This window comes from Homo sapiens, chromosome 6, assembly GCF_000001405.40.
Source record: "Homo sapiens chromosome 6, GRCh38.p14 Primary Assembly".
In the NCBI taxonomy this organism is placed as follows: Eukaryota; Metazoa; Chordata; class Mammalia; order Primates; family Hominidae; genus Homo; species Homo sapiens.
The window spans coordinates 39,442,357-39,469,424 of record NC_000006.12 but is presented as its reverse complement, the minus strand read 5'-3'; the positions used below and the strand labels follow the sequence as shown (position 1 = coordinate 39,469,424).

General features: G+C 40.6%; 1 protein-coding gene across 8 annotated transcripts in view, besides 1 other annotated feature; it reads left to right on the top strand.

Annotated features, from left to right (window-relative positions):
* Positions 1–27,068, top strand: part of KIF6 (kinesin family member 6) — a 395,419-nt gene that overhangs the window by 255,984 nt on the left and 112,367 nt on the right. The window lies entirely within an intron of this gene.
* Positions 13,936–14,610: an enhancer, noted in NCBI's record as "NANOG-H3K27ac-H3K4me1 hESC enhancer chr6:39422591-39423265 (GRCh37/hg19 assembly coordinates)". NCBI's record gives its function as "activates a minimal SCP1, AML or CMV promoter by ChIP-STARR-seq in naive H9 embryonic stem cells {active_cell/tissue: H9 hESC(naive)}" and the evidence as "EXISTENCE:reporter gene assay evidence [ECO:0000049][PMID:30033119]".

Sequence of the window (27,068 nt, the reverse complement as noted above, 5' to 3'; positions counted from 1 at the left end):
ATCTTTTATAGCATACAGTTAAATCTTGGTTTTTTTTAAATCTCATGTGACAATCTCTGACTTTTGATTGGATTTTTAATCTATTTGCATTAATGATAGTATTTATATAGTTGTATTCATTTCTGCCATTTTATTTTTTCTATGTATCATGTCCTTTTTATCTGTCTCCTCCTTTAATGCTTTATTTTACATTAAGTGAATATTTTCTAGTGTAGCATTTTAATCCCTCTAATGATTTTTTATTGTTTATTTTGGAGTTATTTTCCTAGTGGTTGCTTAGGGCTTAAAATATACATCTCAGCTCTATCAGAATCTACTTCATATTTATACTAATTAATTCCAGTGAGATAGGTTAATCCTATATATCTCTATTCATGCTTCCCTTTTTTATGCTATTATTGTTGTATGTGTGTATGTATGTATTCAAGTTATAATCTGGTGTCATTTCATTACTCCAGGACAGCTTTGCTTCCACCCCCTCCTTTGTGCTATTACTAACAACTACATTACACTTATATGTTATAGTTTCCACAATAAAATTATATACATACTATTTGATACAATTGCTTTTTAGATCAGTTTAAAAAAGAAATATGCAATTATACTATCCTTTATAATTACCTATATAATTACTTTTACTGGTGTCCTTTTTTTTTTCATGTGGAATTGAATTAACCTTTAGAGTCACTTGCACTTAAACTGAAGAAATTCCTTTCATATTTCTTGTAAGGCAGATCTGTTTGCAATGAATTCTCCCATTTTTATTTATCTAAGAATGTCTTTCACCTTAATTTTTGAAGAATAGTTTTACTGAATACAAGAGTCTTGGTTGACAGCTTTTTCTTCATCAGTATTTCAGTGTGTCATTCCATTGGCTTCTGGCCTTCATCATGTCTCATTAAACGTCAGCTTTTAATCTTATTGTCCATGACAAGTTAGTTTTCTCTTGCTGCTTTCAAGATTTTCTCTTTGTCTTTAGCTTTCAACATTTTAACTATGATGTAGTTAGGTCTGGATCTCTTTGTATTGATCCTACTTAGAATTTATTAAGACTCTTGGATCTATAACCTAATATTTTCATCAAATTTGGGGTGTTTTTGCATTATTTCTTTAAACATTTTTTCTGCTTTTTCTCTCTCTCTTCTCCCCTCCGTCTTGTACTCTCATTACTTGTATCCTGGTGTCCTCAGTGGTGCCCCACATTTCACTGAGGCTCTATTCCTTTTGTTTGCTTTATTCTTTTTTTTTTCTTTGCTCTTCAGAGTATGTAATCTCTAATGATCTATCTTCAGGTTCACTAATTCTTCTGTCAGTTCAAATCTCCTCTTGAGCCCTATAGTGAATCTTTCATTTTGGTTATTGCACTTTTCAACTTCAGAATTTCAATTTGGTTTTTAAAAATAATTTATATCTCTTTATTGATAGTCTCTATTTGATGAGGCATTGCATTATAGTGTCCTTTGCTTCTTTATTTATTTATTTATTAGTTTTCATTTTCAGCAAGTCCTCAGAGCCAAACCTTTACTTCTTTAAGCATTGCTCCCTTTGGTTCTTTGAATATATGTATATGACTGGTTTGAAGTCTGTCTGCTAAGCTAGCATATATGCCCTTTCATAGGCAGTTTCTATTGCCTGCTTTATTCTTGTGTATGGGTAGCGCTTTCTTTGCATTTATCATAATTCTTTATTGAAAATTGGATGTTTTAGATAATATAGCAGCTCTAGATATTGATCCCCACCCACCTTTTCTGGGGCTTGTTTATACTTGTTTATTCGTCTAGTGGCTTGGATGGACTATCTCAGTGAAGTCTAATTTCCCTTAGCGTTAGCCTATGATTTTGTTCCTCAGAGGGCATAGCCTTGGGCATGTGCACAGTCACCTTAGGATGACAATGGTTTTAGCAGGGCTGCCTCTCTCTGTGTTTTTTTTTTCCCTGATATCTCTGCTAAGCTGACTGCCTTTGTTGATATCATGTGTAAATATTAGCCTTCACTAATTGACACCTGATGGTTTTATTGTTTTCAACAGTGTCTGAGCATAAATTTCCTCACAGTTTGATGCAGTTAAATTCACCTTATTTGCAGGGGTAGTCTTTGAGGCCATTCTTTGAGTTTTGTTTCAAACCCAGGAAAGGCTCTTATTAACTATCTCTTTTCCCTGGTTCTCTCTGTTAAGCATCTAGCTGATCTTTGCTAAACTTAAACTGGTTTAGCTTGTTGCTCTCATGGAGCTACTAGTGAGTGTCCTTTTCATTGGCTACCACCAGAATCTCCATTGTTTTCTACAGCACCTTCAGGCTTGAACTTCCTCATAGTCTCTGTTCCAAGTACCCTCAGTTCCTTGGGGAAAGCTATAAAGCTCTCTGTTGTTATGCCTGCCTTGTCCTGTGGAACAAATCTCTAAGCCATTGCTCTGGAACTGGCAGTGGGGACAGTGGTCTGCTTCTCTGGAAGCAACACCCTGCTTTATGAGTGAGGTGCTGGGAAGGGGGGAAGTAGCCTTTTGCCTTCTCAGCTTACTTCTCCTGGCATGGAGCCATCACTTTATGAGCAGGCAAAGGCAATCGAGACCTGGTATTCTTGGCCTGCTTCACCTGGAAGAGAACTTCTGCCTTACAAAGAGGGGCCTGGGTGGAGGAAGGAAGCCCCAGATCTCTCATTTGCTCTTGCCTGGCCTACAGCTTATGCAATACAGAGATAGGGGTCATGAGAAATGTGGGTGGCCTGCTTTTCCCAGGGAGATACCATAACCTTAGACTGGGAGCTAGGGGGAGTGGAAGCTTCATGTTCTAATTTACAGTCATCCAGAGTAGAGCTTCCATCATGCAGAGGTGGGGGGTGGGGAAGGAGCAAGTCATGGCTCAAATGCCAATGGACTCTTACTCTTCTTACTGAGATTTAGTAGATTTCCTTGAATGAATATTTCTCCATTTGCTGCGTGCCTTTAGACAATTTTCAGATATTTCAAATGGTTTTTGTTGTTGTTCTTTGTTTTAATAATTTTCACTGACTTTGATTGTGTCACTGGTGATGAGGTCCTCTGAGCTACACCACCATTTTGGAAATAGCAACTCCTTTATCTCTGATGCTTGAAGCTCAGAAACCATTGTTATGTGTTCCTCCAGAAAGTCCAAAAGAATCCTGGCAGCCGGTGTTTGAAGGAAGGAAGAAGGAGAGAAGGAAGGAGGAAGGGGGGAGGAAAGTTGGCCTTGTTGTTACATAAAGCTTTATCAGAACAACTTTTTACACAGCCGTATTTATGTATTCAGCAAACCTGATTGAACACTACACACGTGAGACCCTGTGTTAACTCCTGGAGTGCAATGTCCTGTGGTCAAGGAGCTCACAGAGATGTCTGTCAGAGAGACTGACAAAAATAAAGAAGCACTTGCCATGTAATATGGAAGGGATGATGGGGGCAAGAGCCGAGGACTATGCCTGGAAAGAAGGGAGTGACATTCTGCCAGGAAGAATTAAAGTGGGCTTCAGGGGCAGCAATATTTTAGCTGCCTATTGAAGTAAATTCATCAAACAGAGGTGAAGGAGAAGAGGATTTGAGGAATAAGGAATAGTATGATCAAAAAGAACAGAGGCATGCAAAATCATGGTATGTCTGAACTGTTTAGAGGATGCCAAGTAGTTGAGTGTAGTTAGAACACAATGTACCCTTTATGGTGGGGAGTGGCAGAAGAAAAGTCGTAGGGTAGGGCCCAGTTGTTAAATACACAAGACTGGGACATGATGCCATAAACACTGGGGAACCTCTGAAAGTATTTAAGCATCAGAGAGAAGCTTCAGATTTATTTTGGAAGGATGTTTCTGATGTGCATAGGAAGACAGACTAAAGTCAGGGAGACAAATAGGAAGGTATTGCAGCAGTTTAGGCATGAGATGATGAGAGTTTGAACAAAGACAGTGGTGTTGGAGATAAAGAAGAGAAGGATAGGCGAGGTCCAGATGAGAGGAAATCAAAAGGTCTGTGTGACCAATTAAATGCCAGTGAAGAGAAGGGAGGAGTCCAGGATGATTCTGAAGTTTTACTTTTGGCAACTTTTCAATTACCTGCTATTGTCTCTTGATAATAACGTCATTACTTTGATTTCTTGAGACCAGAGTCACACGTCAAAAAGTCTTCATTTGCCAAAGATGCATCTTGCCATGCTCTATGAAGACATCTGCCCATGCTTCTTGCCCTCCTTTGATAACCTTATGGCCAGTGATGCTGCAACCAGAGACCATCTCTTTCAAGGCATGTGCAGACATGGGGTATGATATCCCCGCCCGCCTACCGAAGCAGCAGAGTTTGTCCATGCCCTATTCTGGAAATGAGAAACGCACGGACATCTGGTGGTGCCATAAATATTTGGAAAAGTGGGCTACTAGGAAAGAACTCCTGACCAATTAAAATTTACAGATACATCTTAGAGCTGCTAGCTCCTGTTCAACTGTTTGCTCAAGTGGCTAACAAGCACAAAACCAGATTTCTTTTGTATAGGCTTTCTTTTGCCATAAACTGGGACAGCCATGCTTTCAGTGACCCAATGTTTGTTGCATATTAATAAGAGTCAAATGATCAATTTTTAAAAAGCAGTTCTCGGAAGGCTTTTTTTCCATTGTAGGTATATCACTATAGTAAGTCAACAAGTTGTGCTGATCTCTCATAGTCAAGAGTCCAGTGGGCTCCTGTGGGGTCTTGTTAGCGTGAATCCTGCTCCACTCAGTGGTGCTTATGAGCATTCCAGCTGGCCCCACCTGGCTGCCCTAGCCCACTAGCATCCAGGCTGTGGAGATGAGCTGCCAGGCGATGGCCTGGCTAGGTGAGGAGGAGGAGGCAAGTGGCTGCTCTGCATTCCAGATTCCACTTTTAAACAGATGCTCATAGTTTCTGATTATAAGAGAATGGCTGTGTGAGGTCAAGAACATTAGATCCAAAAGTAGGGACACTTCACTGGGACCCTTAAGTTAGTGCACAGGTTTATGCTTAATACGCTGGCTGATCTAAAGCAGACATTGATCTAATTGAGATCATTTTTTCCAAGAGGAGGGTAAGCCTCCCTTATGCACATGGTTCCCTCATCCTCCAGATACTTAGCAGCCAAAATAAATATGTTTTCGTTTAGGCTGAAAATGCAGATGGTCTCCAAATGCCTGATAGACTATCTTGTTAATCAAAGCCGGGCCAACATAATCACCCTCCACTGCTCAGCTCTGAGCATGAGAATAGTCCTGCCTCATGCCTCCCTTTCAGTGCTGACCACCTCATCAAGCACGACAACGGTCAGATGTGGCCACCATCTGCAAGCTCTTCTCCTGCTGCTTTTGGTCCCACCACCCATCCTGGCCCCTGCCAGTCTATCAGACCATAACACACATGTAGCAGAAACATAAATATGATCAGCCACAAACTCTCAAAGTAATAAATATGTACACCTACTAAACAAGGATATTTGAAAATATAAAGAAAGAGACAATAGGAGATTACCCGAGGTAAATTTTAAAGACAGCAGTGATTTGACAGAGATGTGGGAGGAAGAAAATGAATGATGACTCAAAGGAGAGAGGAGCAAGCCAACTTATTTGGTTAAAATCTGAAAGGCCAGCAGAAGATAGGGGCAGATTTAGAATGACAGCATCCAAAGGGTCCAAGATTTGGAATTTTTATTTAATAAAAGACAACTGACAGTCACTATGGGGACTCAGAAGAGATGTGTTGATATGAAAAATGTTTAAATAAGATTTAAAAAGTGGCCATCTGATGGGACATCATACAATTATTTTTTGAGATGATTTTGAGGAATTTTTAATTACTCAGGAAATGTTTTATGATGTGATGAGAAGTAAAAAAGATGAGTACACTTTTATAATTTCAATGATGTTAAATAGATCTAAACATGCATAGAAAAATGTCTGGAAGAAAATACACTAAAATGTTATGGTTGCTATCTCCTGGTAGTCAGATTAGAGATTATTCGTCTCTTTTGTTGAAATATTCAAATGTCCTACAAAGAACATATTATTTTAAAATCTGAAAAAATAACATGTTTTTTTAAGAATATTTTCAGAGAAATTTGATTGGATAGTAGGTTGGGATTGATGAGGCTGGAGGCAGATTGGACAATAGAGGCTTACATAGTATTTAAACTGTTAGTTGGAGGCCTAGTCTCACACTGTGGAAGTGAGATAAAGGAGAGAAAATGGGGGAGCTTAGTTCAGAGGAATAACAGAAGGGACACCATAAGATTACATGTTACCCATTCAAAGAGATGAAAATAGAAGCCAAATGTCTTAGGAAGAATAAGGTATTACCAGTAATTAAGTTGAAAGTAGAGAGGGTTGGGCAAAATTTAACTCAGTGTAGTTAAATTTCATCTTAGCTGTTGTCTTAGCTGTTGATGGAACAAAGTTAGGCTGAAGACATTCTATTTGACGTGTTAATATAGGAACTCTTAATAGATTTTCTCACTAAGGGCTTTAGTTTGCTGAATTTTCTTTAATGTTGAATATTTGATCCATGCTAAAATGCTAAAAACCAGCCTTGATACCTCCAGCTCTATATCTAATCATCAACTAATGAAAATTAACTGAATATTTTCTCTGTACAAGTTCCTAGCCCTTATAATCTAGTAGCAAATATATATATGTGCATATATTTATGACATATATACAAACTACTATGGAAAATACAAAATATGATAAGGTCTCTGAGACAAGGACAGATGCTTTGCTGTGGGCCTCTCATTTCAGATATCTCGTCAGCCTTCCATTATCTGGCTCCACCCCATCTCTGTAGACTCATTTTTCATTATTCTTCAGTAAATACCTCTACCCTCCTCAGGCTGGCTATTGGCTCTCTTCCCAGCCCATCATGCTCATTGTACCCATTAGGATGCTTTCAGCTACAAGTGTTATCAGTCTATTAATGACTTAAGTTATAAGGACAGTCACTGATTTCTTATAATGAAGTTCAAAAGGTAGGTGATCTCGTGTTGATCTGGCAGCTCAGTGATTGTCATCAGGGTCTCACTTTATTACTTCATCATTCTTAGTGTACTAACTTTGCATCTTCATATGAGTTTGCCTCATGGTGATAAGATGTTTCCTATAGCTCCAGACATTACATAATGTTCACATTTAAGGCAGGAAGGAGGAAGGAATGGTGCCAACAAGTTCTCCTCTTGAGTTTGTCTCTTTATCAGGAAAGCAAAAAGCCTTCCAAGAATACCCCTCCAAACGTTCTCATACATTTTCTTTGGCCATAAAGTAAATGTATCACACAGCCATGCCAAGCTTCAAAGGAGCCTGGAAACATAGGTATATGGCTTTTCCAGCCTCCAGAGCTGCACCATTCAATATGATAGCCATGAGCTGCATGTGACTATTGAATACTTGGAATGTGGCTAGTGCAATTGAAATTATCTCTGAATTTCTAATTTTATTTCATTTTAATTAATTTAAGCATAAAATGGAAGCAATAAAAAGTCTCTATTACATACAACTTTCTTGTTTTGAAAGGACTACATGTCACTTTAGTATAAAATATTAGTATTATAGTACATGTGTCAACAGGTACACACACTTTTTGTATTACACATAAACACTTCATTGACTGGTTTTGTCAATACAGATACAAATATTAAAAAATAATAATTTTTTACTACTCAGTTTGGCTACATTTTACACTTGTAAATTTATAAAACAGATGTAGATCAAATTTTTCTACTGTAAATTCAGTGTCTGAATTAAGATGTGCTGTAAGAATAAAACATGCAAATGAGTATAGTTATTTAGCATAAAAATACATGTAAATATATCAATAATTTTATGAATATTGATTACATGTTGAAATTATATTTTTGATATGAGTTTAATAAAACATATTAAAATTAATTTCACCTTTTCTTACATTTTTAATGTAAAAATTAAAACTAAAGCTATTAATTTCTAGTAAAAATTACTAGAAAATCTAAAATTATATGTATGACTTACATCATAGTTTCATTGGCCACTGCTGGTCTAGAGTGAGAGGAAGGTAAAGGTGAAGAGAATTGGCCATGATTTGTAGGTTAGTCAACCAATAGGGTCCACCTCACTTGTATTGCCTGTGTTACCTGCTGATGAAGAACACTTCTCCTCTCGTAGGTCTATAATAGTCATTTTAGACTATTACAGATGAATGCCAATAATATGATGAATGCTATAATTGTCATTATAGACCTATGATTTATTGTTAACTTTACTCTCATTGTTATTAAGTTGGACATTAAACAAGATCTAGCTGGGCTTAAAGCAAATCCTAACTTAAGGCTAACCTCTTGCAAAACTCTCTTTTGACCACTTAATGTAGTGTTTTCATTCATGCGTGCTTACTTTCATAAAACATTTATTATATATTGAAATGAATGTGAAGGAATGCAAGAATGAAGTTAATAATTTTTCCAAGAGGAGTGATGAACGGTTTCTCAGAAGAGATAGCATTTGAACTGAAATTAGAAGAATGAGTTGAAGCCTGCCATGTTGGAAAGGGTATTCTAAGCCAAGGAAGCAGTATTACAAAGGTATGAAAAGACAAACCGCATTTGGACACTGAAATTTTTATGTACCTGGGGTAAAGATTGTTTGGAATTGAGGCTAGAGTTTGCACTTTCTATAAGAGTAAAGTGCAGAAGTGAGTATTTTGTCACCCACATTCAAGTGGCAATTTAGCTGCATATAGAATTCTAGGTTGATACATGTTTTCTCTCAATATGGTAAAAGTACTATTATGTTCTTTTTTATTCCCATAGTTGTTATCAGAAAGTATACTGTCAATGTAATTGTCATTCCTTAGTAGACAATATGCCTTTCCCCTGGCTACTTTTAAGATCTTTTTTTTTTTTTTTTTTTTTTTTACTTTTTTTTTTATTATACTTTAAGTTTTAGGGTACATGTGCACATTGTGCAGGTTAGTTACATATGTATACATGTGCCATGCTGGTGCGCTACACCCACTAACTCGTCATCTAGCATTAGGTATATCTCCCAATGCTATCCCTCCCCCCTCCCCCCACCCCACCACAGTCCCCGGAGTGTGATATTCCCCTTCCTGTGTCCATGTGATCTCATTGTTCAATTCCCACCTATGAGTGAGAATATGCGGTGTTTGGTTTTTTGTTCTTGCGATAGTTTACTGAGAATGATGGTTTCCAGTTTCATCCATGTCCCTACAAAGGACATGAACTCATCATTTTTTATGGCTGCATAGTATTCCATGGTGTATATGTGCCACATTTTCTTAATCCAGTCTATCATTGTTGGACATTTGGGTTGGTTCCAAGTCTTTGCTATTGTGCATAATGCCACAATAAACATACGTGTGCATGTGTCTTTATAGCAGCATGATTTATAGTCATTTGGGTATATACCCAGTAATGGGATGGCTGGGTCGAATGGTATTTCTAGTTCTAGATCCCTGAGGAATCGCCACACTGACTTCCACAATGGTTGAACTAGTTTACAGTCCCACCAACAGTGTAAAAGTGTTCCTATTTCTCCACATCCTCTCCAGCACCTGTTGTTTCCTGACTTTTTAATGATTGCCATTCTAACTGGTGTGAGATGATATCTCATAGTGGTTTTGATTTGCATTTCTCTGATGGCCAGTGATGATGAGCATTTTTTCATGTGTTTTTTGGCTGCATAAATGTCTTCTTTTGAGAAGTGTCTGTTCATGTCCTTCGCCCACTTTTTGATGGGGTTGTTTGTTTTTTTCTTGTAAATTTGTTTGAGTTCATTGTAGATTCTGGATATTAGCCCTTTGTCAGATGAGTAGGTTGCGAAAATTTTCTCCCATGTTGTAGGTTGCCTGTTCACTCTGATGGTAGTTTCTTTTGCTGTGCAGAAGCTCTTTAGTTTAATTAGATACCATTTGTCAATTTTGGCTTTTGTTGCCATTGCTTTTGGTGTTTTGGACATGAAGTCCTTGCCCACGCCTATGTCCTGAATGGTAATGCCTAGGTTTTCTTCTAGGGTTTTTATGGTTTTAGGTCTAACGTTTAAATCTTTAATCCATCTTGAATTGATTTTTGTATAAGGTGTAAGGAAGGGATCCAGTTTCAGCTTTCTACATATGGCTAGCCAGTTTTCCCAGCACCATTTATTAAATAGGGAATCCTTTCCCCATTGCTTGTTTTTCTCAGGTTTGTCAAAGATCAGATAGTTGTAGGTATGCGGCGTTATTTCTGAGGGCTCTGTTCTGTTCCATTGATCTATATCTCTGTTTTGGTACCAGTACCATGCTGTTTTGGTTACTGTAGCCTTGTAGTATAGTTTGAAGTCAGGTAGTGTGATGCCTCCAGCTTTGTTCTTTTGGCTTAGGATTGACTTGGCGATGCGGGCTCTTTTTTGGTTCCATATGAACTTTAAAGTAGTTTTTTCCAATTCTGTGAAGAAAGTCATTGGTAGCTTGATGGGGATGGCATTGAATCTGTAAATTACCTTGGGCAGTATGGCCATTTTCACGATATTGATTCTTCCTACCCATGAGCATGGAATGTTCTTCCATTTGTTTGTATCCTCTTTTATTTCCTTGAGCAGTGGTTTGTAGTTCTCCTTGAAGAGGTCCTTCACATCCCTTGTAAGTTGGATTCCTAGGTATTTTATTCTCTTTGAAGCAATTGTGAATGGGAGTTCACTCATGATTTGGCTCTCTGTTTGTCTGTTGTTGGTGTATAAGAATGCTTGTGATTTTTGTACATTGATTTTGTATCCTGAGACTTTGCTGAAGTTGCTTATCACCTTAAGGAGATTTTGGGCTGAGACGATGGGGTTTTCTAGATAAACAATCATGTCGTCTGCAAACAGGGACAATTTGACTTCCTCTTTTCCTAATTGAATACCTTTTATTTCCTTCTCCTGCCTGAGTGCCCTGGCCAGAACTTCCAACACTATGTTGAATAGGAGCGGTGAGAGAGGGCATCCCTGTCTTGTGCCAGTTTTCAAAGGGAATGCTTCCAGTTTTTGCCCATTCAGTATGATATTGGCTGTGGGTTTGTCATAGATAGCTCTTATTATTTTGAAATACGTCCCATCAATACCTAATTTATTGAGAGTTTTTAGCATGAAGAGTTGTTGAATTTTGTCAAAGGCTTTTTCTGCATCTATTGAGATAATCATGTGGTTTTTGTCTTTGACTCTGTTTATATGCTGGATTACATTTATTGATTTGCGTATATTGAACCAGCCTTGCATCCCAGGGATGAAGCCCACTTGATCATGGTGGATAAGCTTTTTGATGTGCTGCTGGATTCGGTTTGCCAGTATTTTATTGAGGATTTTTGCATCAATGTTCATCAAGGATATTGGTCTAAGATTCTCTTTTTTGGTTGTGTCTCTGCCCAGCTTTGGTATCAGAATGATACTGGCCTCATAAAATGAGTTAGGGAGGATTTCCTCTTTTTCTATTGATTGGAATAGTTTCAGAAGGAATGGTACCAGTTCCTCCTTGTACCTCTGGTAGAATTCGGCTGTGAATCCATCTGGTCCTGGACTCTTTTTCATTGGTAAACTATTGATTATTGCCACAATTTCAGCTCCTGTTATTGGTCTATTCAGAGATTCAACTTCTTCCTGGTTTAGTCTTGGGAGAGTGTATGTGTCGAGGATTGTACCCATTTCTTCTAGATTTTCTAGTTTATTTGTGTAGAGGTGTTTGTAGTATTCTTTGATGGTAGTTTGTATTTCTGTGGGATCGGTGGTGATATCCCCTTTATCATTTTTTATCGTGTCTATTTGATTCTTCTCTCTTTTTTTCTTTATTAGTCTTGCTAGCGTTCTATCAATTTTGTTGATCCTTTCAAAAAACCAGCTCCTGGATTCATTGATTTTTTGAAGGGTTTTTTGTGTCTCTGTTTCCTTCAGTTCTGCTCTGATTTTAGTTATTTCTTGCCTTCTGCTAGCTTTTGAATGTGTTTGCTCTTGCTTTTCTAGTTCTTTTAATTGTGATGTTAGGGTGTCAATTTTGGATCTTTCCTGCTTTCTCTTGTGGGCATTTAGTGCTATAAATTTCCCTCTACACACTGCTTTGAATGTGTCCCAGAGATTCTGGTATGTTGTGTCTTTGTTCTCGTTGGTTTCAAAGAACATCTTTATTTCTGCCTTCATTTCGTTATGTACCCAGTAGTCATTCAGGAGCAGGTTGTTCAGTTTCCATGTAGTTGAGCGGCTTTGAGTGAGATTATTAATTCTGAGTTCTAGTTTGATTGCACTGTGGTCTGAGAGATAGTTTGTTATAATTTCTGTTCTTTTACATTTGCTGAGGAGAGTTTTACTTCCAACTATGTGGTCAATTTTGGAATAGGTGTGGTGTGGTGCTGAAAAAAATGTATATTCTGTTGATTTGGGGTGGAGAGTTCTGTAGATGTCTATTAGGTCTGCTTGGTGCAGAGCTGAGTTCAATTCCTGGGTATCCTTGTTGACTTTCTGTCTCATTGATCTGTCTAATGTTGACAGTGGGGTGTTAAAGTCTCCATTATTAATGTGTGGGACTCTAAGTCTCTTTGTAGGTCACTCAGGACTTGCTTTATGAATCTGGGTGCTCCTGTATTGGGTGCATATATATTTAGGATAGTTAGCTCCTCTTGTTGAATTGATCCCTTTACCATTATGTAATGGCCTTCTTTGTCTCTTTTGATCTTTGTTGGTTTAAAGTCTGTTTTATCAGAGACTAGGATTGCAACCCCTGCCTTTTTTTGTTTTCCATTGGCTTGGTAGATCTTCCTCCATCCTTTTATTTTGAGCCTATGTGTGTCTCTGCACGTGAGATGGGTTTCCTGAATACAGAACACTGATGGGTCTTGACTCTTTATCCAACTTGCCAGTCTGTGTCTTTTAATTGGAGAATTTAGTCCATTTACATTTAAAGTTAATATTGTTATGTGTGAATTTGATCCTGTCATTATGATGTTAGCTGGTGATTTTGCTCGTTAGTTGATGCAGTTTCTTCCTAGTCTCGATGGTCTTTACATTTTGGCATGATTTTGCAGCGGCTGGTACCGGTTGTTCCTTTCCATGTTTAGCGCTTCCTTCAGGAGCTCTTTTAGGGCAGGCCTGGCGGTGACAAAATCTCTCAGCATTTGCTTGTCTGTAAAGTATTTTATTTCTCCTTCACTTATGAAGCTTTGTTTGGCTGGATATGAAATTCTGGGTTGAAAATTATTTTCTTTAAGAATGTTGAATATTGGCCCCCACTCTCTTCTGGCTTGTAGGGTTTCTGCCGAGAGATCCGCTGTTAGTCTGATGGGCTTCCCTTTGAGGGTAACCCGACCTTTCTCTCTGGCTGCCCTTAACATTTTTTCCTTCATTTCAACTTTGGTGAATCTGACAATTATGTGTCTTGGAGTTGCTCTTCTCGAGGAGTATCTTTGTGGCATTCTCTGTATTTCCTGAATCTGAACGTTGGCCTGCCTTGCTAGATTGGGGAAGTTCTCCTGGATAATATCCTGCAGAGTGTTTTCCAACTTGGTTCCATTCTCCGCATCACTTTCAGGTACACCAATCAGACGTAGATTTGGTCTTTTCACATAGTCCCATATTTCTTGGAGGCTTTGCTCATTTCTTTTTATTCTTTTTTCTCTAAACTTCCCTTCTCGCTTCATTTCATTCATTTCATCTTCCATTGTTGATACCCTTTCTTTCAGCTGATCGCATCGGCTCCTGAGGCTTCTGCATTCTTCACGTAGTTCTCGAGCCTTGGTTTTCAGCTCCATCAGCTCCTTTAAGCACTTCTCTGTATTGGTTATTCTAGTTATACATTCTTCTAAATTTTTTTCAAAGTTTTCAACTTCTTTGCCTTTGGTTTGAATGTCCTCCCGTAGCTCAGAGTAATTTGATCGTCTGAAGCCTTCTTCCTTCAGCTCGTCAAAATCATTCTCCATCCAGCTTTGTTCCGTTGCTGGTGAGGAACTGCATTCCTTTGGAGGAGGAGAGGCACTCTGCGTTTTAGAGTTTCCAGTTTTTCTGTTCTGTTTTTTCCCCATCTTTGTGGTTTTATCTACTTTTGGTCTTTGATGATGGTGATGTACAGATGGGTTTTCGGTGTGGATGTCCTTCCTGTTTGTTAGTTTTCCTTCTAACAGACAGGACCCTCAGCTGCAGGTCTGTTGGAATACCCTGCAGTGTGAGGTGTCAGTGTGCCCCTGCTGGGGGGTGCCTCCCAGTTAGGCTGCTCGGGGGTCAGGGGTCAGGGACCCACTTGAGGAGGCAGTCTGCCCGTTCTCAGATCTCCAGCTGCGTGCTATGAGAACCACTGCTCTCTTCAAAGCTGTCAGACAGGGACATTTAAGTCTGCAGAGGTTACTGCTGTCTTTTTGTTTGTCTGTGCCCTGCCCCCAGAGGTGGAGCCTACAGAGGCAGGCAGGCCTCCTTGAGCTGTGGTGGGCTCCACCCAGTTCGAGCTTCCCGGCTGCTTTGTTTACCTAAGCAAGCCTGGGCAATGGCGGGCGCCCCTCCCCCAGCCTCGCTGCTGCCTTGCAGTTTGATCTCAGACTGCTGTGCTAGCAATCAGCGAGATTCGGTGGGCGTAGGACCCTCCGAGCCAGGTGTGGGATATAGTCTCGTGGTGCGCCGTTTTTTAAGCCGGTCTGAAAAGCGCAATATTCGGGTGGGAGTGACCCGATTTTCCAGGTGCGTCCGTCATCCCTTTCTTTGACTCGGAAAGGGAACTCCCTGACCCCTTGCGCTTCCCAGGTGAGGCAATGCCTCGCCCTGCTTCGGCTCGCGCACGGTGTGCGCACCCACTGGCCTGCGCCCACTGTCTGGCACTCCCTAGTGAGATGAACCTGGTACCTCAGATGGAAATGCAGAAATCACCCGTCTTCTGCGTCGCTCACGCTCGATCTTTTTTTTTTTTTTTTTTTTTGATGCTCTCAGTATCACTATTATATCTAAGGAAAGAGTTTCGTTTATATTTTTCCTGATCAGGATTTATTGTGCTCCTGGATATCGGGTGTCACATATTTATTATTTCTGGAAAATGCAGAGCTATTATCTTTTCTAATATTGCCTTTCCTCCATTCTATCTATTCACATCTTTGGAGCTTCCTATTACACATGTGTTGGATCTTATTACTCTCTCTCTTTCACATCTCAATCTCTCTTTCATCTTTTCCATTTCTTTAGATGACTGTACTGCATTTTGAGTGACTTTCTCTGATTAATATTTCCTCTTTTTTTCTTTTTGAGTCTTTGTATCAAAAAGTGTCTGAAGCTTAAAGTTTAGGTTTCCACTATTGCAACATAAGAGTTCTAATACATACTCACCATGCTACTTAGTCATCATGTTCTGTATTTATCTACTGTATTTAACACTTCTTTTCTATCTACTGTATTTAACAGAAATATCTACTGTATTTAACACTTCTTTCTATTTCTTTTCTATTTCTATTACTGTATTTAACACTGCTTTTCTATTCCAACTGACTCCTCATTGTTGGTTATATTACTTAGATGATAAGGCAGTGTAGTAGTCAGTAAGGGAGGCTCAGAAGGGGCAGTCACAGACATACAAGGGGAATATGGAGAGAACTATGCCAAGAAGCCAGAGAAGAAAATTTTAATAATTAAGGAATATTTTTAAATACCTCAGAGAGGCCAAGAGGCATGAGAATTGCAAAACGTGCACTTGAATTGCCAGTTGGGAGGTGATTAATGACTGTTATATTCTGCCCTTTTTTTGTGGTTTTTATTGATTCTTTATCAACTACAGTGATTACCAGAAAGCAGAGATGATAAATATTCAAGAAATATTGGGTGATCGATTAATGGATTTTATTTTAGGGTTTGGGGAACATACAAAAATAGCCATTTGGTAGCCATTGTTTTTTTATGAAGGACGAGAAGTGATAGAGTCAAGATATAAGAAAAGCAGTATTAAATTGAAAGTAATTTAGAAAGGATGTAACAGTTGGAAGTCAGACAATTTGTCCCAGAGCCAAATTCCTCATGCAGCTTATGGTATCTTCTTCAGTGACATAGATGAATGGGCAGCTATTGTAAAAGATTAATTGGAAATCTCAAACCATTCCAGAAAACACAAACTCGGACGACATTGCCTTTCAGTCCACCCTGGACCCATTTCCCTTTACTGTGGTCCTGGGCAGTGTTAATACACCCCAGACATCGGAGAATAAAATTTGTCTTTTGAGATCAGTTACTACTCTTGCAGCTGACAAAGAGGTAATGATCATTTCAAATGTTTCCTCAGCCAAAGACCATTAATGAAACAGGTGTCCTCAGGAAAATGCTCTGTAGTAGAAGGCCTTGGGATTCTTCATACATTGTAGATCCATCTCTGGATCACATTTGTTTAAATTGATTGCTTTGTCTATCAGTTCATCTGTCTAAGTAACTAGCTTTGGGCAACTTGGAGGCATCCGTCATCACTGATTCTTTAACAAAGTTGTGGGTTAAGTCATCTAAAGAAAGATGTTTCTTCCTTGACCTCAATTCCAGTAGGTCCAAGGGAGTTGGAAGTGGGAGGGGAGAATGTCCAAGAATCATAGCATTATAGGAATCTTATGCTGTTGACTGCAAGGGTTGATTTTGCGCCTGTTCTGAAATGAATTTTCCTGACCATTTGCTTTCTGTGCCATTTTTACTATTTATTTTGTTGCTTGGCTTACACTGGGCCTGAACTTGACTTTGATCCATACGTCTGGAAATCATAGTTGCAGTTTGCTCTCCTTTTTCACATCCTGCTCTTTTAATAAAAATGTTCCCTTTTTTCTTGAACAGAATGGTTGATCACAGCATTTGGTAAGGGCGAAAGCTGATAATTTGCTTAAAATGAGTCACTTTTGTGCCAGACTGGGAGCCCCATGACTCATAATTACAAGTTCAGAGACTAACTGTTTGTAACAAGAGGAAACCCAGCCAGAGGGGCTTTCAGCTTACCCACTCTTGCATTCTTTATATCCAGAGAGCAAATTATTGCTCAAGGCAACCAAAAGCTCATTAGTGAACCCAATGAAGTGAAAGGCAGCTTCCTGGGCTTGGGCAGAGAGGATGGTCACTACCAAGCCATACCAGCTAAAGTTAACTAGGTCCTGGAGCATCCGCCAGTGAACATTTTTCACCACAGATGAATGCCAAGCTGAGTTTTTAAGCAAATCCAATTTAGATTCTTCTTCATCCTAGCAGCTTAACTTTTAGCACCCTTTCCTTCCTTCTCCTCTTCCTGTCATGTAACAGATGAGGGCAATTGGGGCCCCAAGCCCTTGGTATTGTTTTCCACAATCCAGTTCTGCTTCTGGATTAAAGACAAGACAGGATTTGTAAACCAAGAGCAGCAAAAACAGTTGCCCAAAACAGCCCTATGAAGTAGACATTAGCCCTATTTCATGGATGAGGAAACTGAGGATGCCGCCTATCTGCAGGCTCATGAATTGCAGGCTCGCCCATTTTGAAGGGCTGTCTTTGTAGTATCTGATTCACAAGCCACACTGAGCCTCTGTGTGATCATTCAAGACATTTTCTCCTAGCTACCCATTTTAAGTAAGCTCTTCTGGACAGATTGGGTGCTTCCTTTCATTCAGTATATATTATGACTACCTAATATGTGCCAGACACAGTAAGTATTCATGTCACACCTTCCAGAACCCTTTTTCAGTTAGGGTTTTTATCACCTGGAATGCCCTGCATGCATTTCACAGCCTGACCATTCCCTTTTCACAGACATGTGTTTGCTCCCTAACCCAAGTTTTCTGGGATGTAAGAACCTTAACATTCCATCCTCACAGCCATGCCCCTCCCTCAGCCTTACCACACACATATACATATAGATGTACACATACAGGTGTAATCGATTCCACTGCAGGCAGGAAAACCAAGGAGCAGAGGAATTAAGTAATTTTCTCAAGGTTATGCCCTAGTAGAGTGCATTTTTATAACAGTTCTTTCCTCTAGAACTGCTGTCAGTGAATAAACTGGCTTCCTAGAAAGCAAGAACTTCAATTCCTCCCTCTGAGAATCCAGCCTACAGAAATAATCCAAAATGCCTTTGTGCAAATACACTTTTTCAGAGAGACCTTCCTGTATTCTCCCTCAGTAAAATAGCCTGCCCCATCATTCATATCTTTCTATCCTCTTACTTTTCGTCATCTCTTTTCATAGAACTAATTAATAGCATGTGCTTATTTGATTCTCTTGTCTGTTGCCCTCAGTAGAACATAAGCTCTCCAAAGGAAATAAGCCTTTGCTCACCACCATATTCCCAGCTCCAAGAATAGTAACTGACATATAGTGGCCACTGAGTAAATACTTGTTGAATTAATTAATTTATTAATGCACCAAGACACTCGGTGCAGCATTATTTGCATAGTGTATATATATAAAGCAATGTAAAATCCAGCATTAGAGAATGGACTACAATGGTGAATATTATCCAGCCATAAAAAGCAACATTCCTAAAGACTTTCACTACTGACGAAAAAAGGATTATGAGATAATGTTAAGTAAAATAAACAGGCTACAAAATTGTATATATAGTATCATCTTAACTATGTAGTAAAACAAAGCATAGAAAAACTGGAAGGAAAGTAGAGAGATTGTGAGTGATTTTTCTTGCTTCTTTTATTAATTAATGTTTTGAAACAGCATCTCACTTTGTCACCCAGGCTGGAGTGCAGTGGTGCGATTATGGCTGACTGAAGCCTCAACCTCCCGGGCTCAGGCAATCTTCCCACCTCAGCCCCCTGAGTAGCTGGGACTGCAGACATGTACCACCAGGCCCAGCTAATTTTTGTGTTTTTGGTAGAGATGGGGTTTCACCATGTTGCCCAGGCTGGTCTCAAACTCCTGGGCTCAAGCCATCTGCCCACCTCAGCCTCCCAAAGTGCTGGGATTATAGGTGTGAGCCACTGTGCCCGGCCTTTCTTGCTTCTTTACATCATTCTGTTACCCCAGTTTTCTTCAATGGGCAAGCCATACTTTGATAATTAGAAAAAGTAAAGTAATGCCTTTTGCATATTCTTACCTCCTCAGGCATAGATGAGGTTGACATCTTTAGGACTTGCCTTCCGTATCGACTATATCCCTCTCTGAGCTCCTATAGGATAATGCATCTATGAAAGCAAAACTCCTCTGAAACTTTCCTAGATAGCCTAACATAATCCATCCATAATGGTCAATTACTTCTGTCTGTTGAGGATGTACAACAGGTACAGATATTAGCTTGGATGACCCCATAGCATTCTGAAATGATGATAGATGTCTCCAAAGATTCTCATGTGTCACTTTCAGAAATGGAAACTCTTGCCAGGAAAAGAGAGTGGCTCTCACTAGCCACCTTGCCATTTATACGTGGCATTTTGTTTGGCCCCCTTTGGAGAGAATTATTCATGGAGTTAAAATGTAGAAAATAAAAATAAAAGCAAAACAAACAAACCACAAACTCCCAAAAATGAAAACCTAGTGAGAAAGAGACAGCAGAATAGTGAGGTGATGAGGTTAGTCAGGGTACAGGTTAGCAAGGGCCTGTGGATGTTGACATGAGCCAAGTCCCCCAGAACAGAAAGGTTATTTAAAAAATTCTGATTGTGGGGGCAGAGAGGAAAAAGCTCAGTTCCAGGGTTGGCACCTTCATAGGAGAGCAGTTTGGGCTTGATGTGGGCAGGCAGGTGTGCCAATCTGGTACCTATCAGAGGACCTGTTTACAATGGGACTGCGACTGCTCTCTCCCTTCCTTCCTCTCTTTCATCCTACTGTACTGGAGAAGGAGCACTGAACAGGACAGGTTAGCCTCTGAGGAGTTTTCATTCCATACAATACATACATACATGTGGTTTCAGAGGGTGATAAGTGCTAAGGAAGGATATGAAACAGAAAAAGAGGGTAGAAAATCATTGTGGTGGGTTGGGGACAAGGGAGCTGCAAACTGAATAGTGAGTTGATAATCATAAAGATCCCAGAAAAGAACATTCCAGACAGTGAAACAAGCAGCAAGTATAAAGCCCCAAAGGCAGGAACACTACTTCCATAGTTGAGCAGCTGAAAGGCGGCCAGGGAGCCAAGAAGGCATGAACAAAGAATACCTGGGTGTGGCATGAAGAGGGAGGGATGTAGCCAGGGACCAGATGACGCCAGGAGGTCCTGGTAGGCTGAGGAGGTTGGGGTATATTCAGGTTTGGCTTTGTCCATGGGAAGCCACAGGAGAGTTTAAAGCAGAGAGTGACGTAATCATATTCTTAAAAGATCATTTGGGTTGCTATATAGAGAATATATTGCAGGAGGGCAAAATGGAAGCTGGCAAGGCTATCAGGAGACAGTCCAGAGAAGAAATGGCAACGACTTGGGTTAGGCTAAAAAAGAGACAAAGAGAAGCAGAGAGGTGTAAGGCATTATTCTGAAGGGATTGTTGGCAGGAGTTGCCGCTAGAGCTGATGGCATGTGGGGGTTGAAGAATCATGGAAGAATCTTAGGATTTTTTGCTTGAGCAAATGGTGCCATTTACTGATATGGAAACAATTAGGGGGAACAGCTTGGGATAGAGCTTAGAATGGAGCATGAAATTAAGAGTTCTGTTTGGGGTATGTTAAGTTTGATATGCCAATTAAACCTTCAAGTAAGGATTCCCAGTGGAGTGGCCTGTCAGATGTCCCACTTTGGCACTCAAAGGGAAAGTCATTTTGGAGCCATTTGTGTGTAATACATCGTAAAGCCATGCACCTGAATGAAATCACCTGTTGAAAGAGAATAGTCTCCAGAGCTAAACAATATCTGAAGGTTGGAAAGAGAAGCCAGGGAGGTAGGACAAAAACTTGGAGGGAGTAATGTCACAGAAAGCCAGGGAAGGAAGTGCTTCAGGCAGGAGGGAGCTTGTCAGCTGTTTCACCGACTGCATATTGGTCAGACTAGACTAAGTTATGCTCTGGTAATAAATGAACACAAAATATCAGTGTCACTTAATACAACATATTTTGGCCGGGCACGATGGCTCACACCTGTAATCCCAGCACCTTGGGAGGATGAGGCGGGTGGATCTCCTGAGGTCAGGAGTTCGAGACCAGCCTGGCCAACATCGTGAAACCCTGTCTCTATGAAAACTACAAAAATCAGCCGGGTGTGGTGGCAGGTGCCTGTAATCCCAGCTACTCAGGAGGCTGAGGCAGGAGAATCACTTGAACCCAGGAGAAGGAGGTTGCAGTGAGCCAAGATCGCACCACTGCACTCCAGCTTGGGCGACAAGAGCAAGACTTCATCTCAAAAAAAAAATTAATAAAATGTACTTTTTGTTCATATTGCATGAATAATGTGGGCCAGAGAGGTAGGAGCTCTGGTCCCCAGAGACCGAGGCTGATGGAGATTATATCTGCGATGACCCCCATCACCAGAGTGAGGAAAGAGAGAGTATGAAGAATCGCAAAGGGGCTCTCCACTGCTTTAGCCAGGAAGAAACGTATCACTGCCGCTCACAGCCCGCTGACCAGTAGCAGTTACGTGCAGTTCCCTAACCTTATTGCTGTACCATTTACCGAGAGGCCAACTCAAATAAAAACAGAAAACTGACCACTGGTTTTGGCAATCCAGGATCACTGGGGATCTTGAAAGGACAATTTCAGTGGAGTATAGGGGATGGAAGTCCATTGGACTACAGCAAGGCGAGAACAGGAAGTGGGGGAATTGAGAGGTGAATGTAGACAGCTCTGTTGAAGCATTTCCAAGAAAAGGGACCAAAGAAATTGAAAGATAGCTGGAAGGTTAATGGGGTAAAGGAAGGATATTGTTAAAAGAGTATTTTTTTTTCCTCCCCCAAGTGTCTAAGTGTTCTTAAGTCCCCTACGCTGCCAGTCACACTACAAATAGATTATCTTTTCTCCTCTTCCATCAATGAAATCAAGGCCAGTAAACATGAATGTTTTAACCTTCCATTTGGTACCTACAAATTCAAATATAGCTACATTTAACTATAACCGATTCAGCATACATTTTAAAATATGACTTTGTGCTGCTGGAAATAATCCAGTGGGGGAAATTGTTCAGGCAGGAGATAAGGGTTCAGGGAAGAAGGCCAGGAGAGGAGTTTGGGAGCCACAGCCCAGGTGAAGGGGGTGGGCTTTGATAAGATGGTGGATGATGTTTAGTTGTTACCAGAGGGAAAGCTTGGACTTCTGGTATACATGAGAGTCCACTGGAAGACATGGTGGTGGAAAGCCCCTGTCCTGTCACATTCATTTTCTCAATGAGATGAGGTTGTTACTGTGGAATGAGCCTGGCTGGTGTGGTTGGGAAGCAGAGAACACAGAAACAGTAGAGGCAGACTGACCATTTCAGCCACTGTCTCTCCCTACATTGCTAACCCGTCATTTGTAACTACCTTAAAATCCTCCTGCTGTGTTAAAGTAATTCTTTCACTCGTAACAGATTGCTGTGGGTGGGTTTTTAGGTGACTCATTATTACTTATGATGGTAATTATAACATTTTTACACTTTCACTTTTTATAGTATATTCCACATTTACTCATTCATTCTGTCAGAGACTTTTAAATAAATGATTCATTGCTGCCATATTGTTTTCTTTATTTTTATATAAAATATATTCACAGAAAACTACATTAAAGACATAAGTACAGTTTAACAAATAACGTTTTTAAGAAAAACAATTTTGGCCAGGCTCAGTGGCTCATGCCTGTAGTCCCAGCAATTTGGGAGGCCGAGGCTGGTGGATCATCTGAAGTCAGGAGTTTAAGACCAGCCTGGCCAACATGGTGAAACCCCGTCTCTACTAAAAATACAAAAATTAGATGGGCCTGGTGGCACCTGTAGTCCCAGCTGCTCAGGAAGCTGAGGCAGGAGAATTGCTTGAACCTGGGAAGTGGAGGTTGCAGTGAGCCAAGATCACACCATTGCACTCCAGCCTGGGCAACAAGAGTGAAACTCCATCTAAAAAAAAGAAAAAGGAAAGAAAAGAAAACAATTTCACTGGAGATCTCTCCTTCTTGCTCATTTATTCAGTCAAGAAATCTTGTTTGGAGCATCTACTGTATCCCAGGCAGTGAGCTTGGAGCTAAAGTCACATGCCTTTGGGGGCTCATGGCCTGAGGGGTAGGGGAGGCAGAGAGGTGAGATATCATGGAAATATTACATCATTACAAAGGCATTGGATAGTTCTAAAATGGAGAGATGCACAAGGTACTGCCCACTCCTAACTCCTCACAATACCATTAAGAGATAGCAGTTATTATGTGTTTCATTTTATAGATGTGGAGCCTGAAACTTAGAGCAATATAAATGGCAGATCCGGGGCACACAGCTAGTAGTCGAAACCAGCACTCAACCCATGGCTTCTGCCTCCAAGTCCTATCTCCTTTCCCCCACCACTGAACAGGAATCACAGAGCAGCCTGCTGTTACACTAAAGGAAATCTTCTTCAATCATCTGAAGGAGGGAGGGAAAATTGCCTGACAAGCCTGTGGAAAACTTCATTGGGTCTCTGCCTGGGAATACCTTGGGCAAACAGGGAACTGGTTGAGGGTGCAGTGTCTGGTCCCAGTGGCCACTTGAGCTTGAATGCCCCTGGCAACCAAAGGAAATCCCCAAGGTCCTGCCAGTCTCCATGCCAAGCCCTTCACCTGGTGGGATCCTCCCCATCCCTGTGGATTTGCCATTCTATTTCCTGTGCAGAATAACACTGACCCCCTTTCCTCTAGCTCCTGCTTCTCAGTGCTTCTAAAACCTGCCTCAGGAGGAACATTCCCTGAGAAATCCTTCTGCAATCTGACCACCCGCTTCTCTGCTCTCTCCCAGTCATCTATACCTTCTGAACCACGTGACCTTTGATGCCTTGTCTATCTGCTTCACCTGCCTTTTAACATAAACTTTGGCCTTCCCATGCCCTCAGTGCTGAGCTAAATTGTATGGTCAAGGACAATATTTCTTTTACTTATCTCCAACTAACCATAGAAAAGGGTGTCAATAGCGTAGACACTCAGTGCTTATTAACAGATGGTCTGTTTCACCAGTTGACTCAGCCTGAATGAATAAACGAATGTTATATTTAAACAATAAAATGCTTTCCAGAGAAGAAGCTATTAGGATACAGAGAGGTCAGAGGTTAAAGGATCACCTCCTGGATGCTTCTTGCCTCTTTTCACCACTGTTCACTGGGGGATGGGAGTTTCTTCTCCTCAAAGCCCACATTATTAGAACCTGGGCCCTGCCCCTTCATCTTCTCTGTAGTGCCCCCACCAAAACTCAACTCCAATCCAATCACCATTTCAAGTGTATAACCTATTTAATGTGGAGACTGTTCAGAGTACAATCGCTGTACAGATTGGGGAAAGATAATTACCGTACTTAATTGAACCTAACAGAGTTCTCTAACCAAAAAGTCCTTAATGGCAGAGTCAAGGATTCACTACAAGCCAGCCAGATCTTCACTTTCCCCTGCTCCATAACCCAGACCCTGGGCTCTCAGGTGATGCGGCTCCTCCCAGGTGTCAGGTGTCTGGTGCCTTCCCTAGTTTCCTGTTCACAGAGATCTCCAGCTCTTGTGAACTGCAAATTGATGGGTTTTGGTCCACGTTCCAGCTCACAACCCTCCAAAAATTTCCTTTTTTTTTTTTTTAACCATCTCTGACCTTCTGACCCTTAGGTCTGATATCAGTGGTTTGCTGGTATTTATGAGATCATTTCTAGTTGACAAATGACTTTCACTTAGCAACATAGCATGCAAAAGGAGCGTTTTGGAAAAAATTGAACTCATAGAAACAGAGAGTAGAATGGTAGTTGCCAGGGGCTGGAGTTCGGGGAAATGAGGAGGTATAGAGCCCAACATCTGGGGCTCTAATGCACAGCATGGTGACTGTAGTTAATAATACTGTATTGTATACATGATATTTGCTAAAAGAGATCTTAAGATCTTAAGGGTGTCAATAGCGTAGATTCTCAGTACTTGTTAACAGAAGGTCTTTTCACCTTAAGATCTTTTCTCACCACAAAACAAACAAACAAACAAAAAAACAGGTAACTAACTATATAAGTTGATGGATGTATTACCTAACTTGATTGTGGTAATCATTCACAACATATACCTGCATCAAATCATCACATTGTAAACCTTAAATATATGCAATTTTATTTGTCAATTATGCCTCAGTAAAGCCGGGGTGGCCTGTGCAGAAATAAAGGTTCCATTTCCAAAAAAAGAAAAAAAAAGAAAGGTGGGTTTTGGAGTCAGACAAACCTAGGGTATAGTTATGGCTTTGCCACTTACTAACTGTTGACTTGGAGTCACTTTTAACCTCTTTCAACCTTAATAACCTTGCCAACTAGGCCCAATACTACCTAGTTGACTCGGTTATTGTAAGAATTAAATAAGAACATATGTAATGCCTCTAGTATATGCAAAGTTCTCAATAAGCATCAGCTTTCCACCACTACCAATAGAGTTGTGAAGATTAATTGAATTAATATTTGTGAAATATGGAACAGTGCCTGTCACATGGAAGACACACAAAAATTAAATTTCCCCTTCCTTTTTTTCCCCAAAACATGAACATAAGCATATCTAAACTCCATTTTGCATCTACTTACTTACAAGCTAAGGAAACAGAATTTTACTTAAATCCATACATATTTCAGGGAAGGGGTATTTTTTGCTCCTTAGCTAGAATGCAATTCTTTAATTCTCTTTTTAAAATGTATGAAAATTGACCAGGCATGGTGGCTCACACCTATAATTCCAGTGCTTTGGGAGGTCACGGTGGGCAGATCACTTGAGGCCAGGAGTTCGAGAACAGTCTGGCCAACATGGCGAAACCCCATCGCTACTAGTTATACAAAAATTAACCAGGTGTGGTGGCACACACTTCTGGTCCCAGCTACTTGGGAGGCTGAGGCACAAGAATTGCTTGACCCTGGGAAGCAAAGGTTGCAGTGAGCCAAGATTGCACCACTCTACTCCAGCCTGGGCAATAGAGCAAGACTCTGTCTTAAATAAAATAAAAATAAATAAAATTAAATACATGAAAATAAATGAGTCTATAGTGAATCCATTCCTAATTTAGGCATAGATAGAAAATTTGCCTCATTTTTCAGACAACAGGACACGTTAACAATGCTTTAACCACTGCCTCTGAAGCACAGGCTCACACAAGAGCTAATCTCATTAGGGTGGAAGCCACTCAACAGGACCCTGTGAACCATGGCCTTTGGAAGCAGTCAAGGACATGTGAGACTCAGGGAATCCTATGTTCTGTAGAATCTGGAGCCTCTTTCTTTTTTTTATTTTTATTTATTATTATTATTATTATTATTATTATTATTATTATTATTATTATTTGAGATGCAGTCTCACTCTGTCGCCCAGGCTGGAGTGCAATGGCGTGATCTCGGCTCACTGCAAGCTCCACCTCCCGGGTTCACGCCATTCTTCTGCCTCAGCCTCCCCAGTAGCTGGGACTACAGGTGCCCGCCACCACGCCCGGCTAATTTTTTTGTATTTTTAGTAGAGACGAGGTTTCACCGTGTTAGCCAGGATGGTCTCAATCTCCTGACCTCATGATCCGCCCACCTCAGCCTCCCAAAGTGCTGGGATTACAGGCATGAGCCATCGCGCCCAGCCGATCTGGAGCCTCTTTCTAAGCTGAAGAAAACTGCTGCCTTTCCGTTCAGGGAGCTGTCAGTCAACCTACAAAGAATTCAGACACACGCGTTCTTCCACTCAGATTCCCAGGATTGGTCCAAATATTGAGCCTGGAATTAGACATCCAGGCTTTTTCAGTGCTGCCACATCTACGGGCTAAAATCAATAGAAAAGACTCAATAGATCCAGTTTGGCCTGGCAGCAGGAGCCACAGCGTGCTGTCTTATTTAATGGAAACGTTGCTGGCCTCCAGATGCCTAAGCTGGCTCCAAAATGCAGAAATGCCACCATGACCCAGGCGGCTTTCCAAACTCAGTGCCTGCGTCTGTCCACGGATTTCTGTAACAGCCCATGTGGGCACTTTGTCCTGGATGAGAACATTTACAAAATAGAAACCCCAGAGATGCTAGGTTAGGAAAATGAGTGTTTTCTGCAGATGCTCTTGAGGACCACT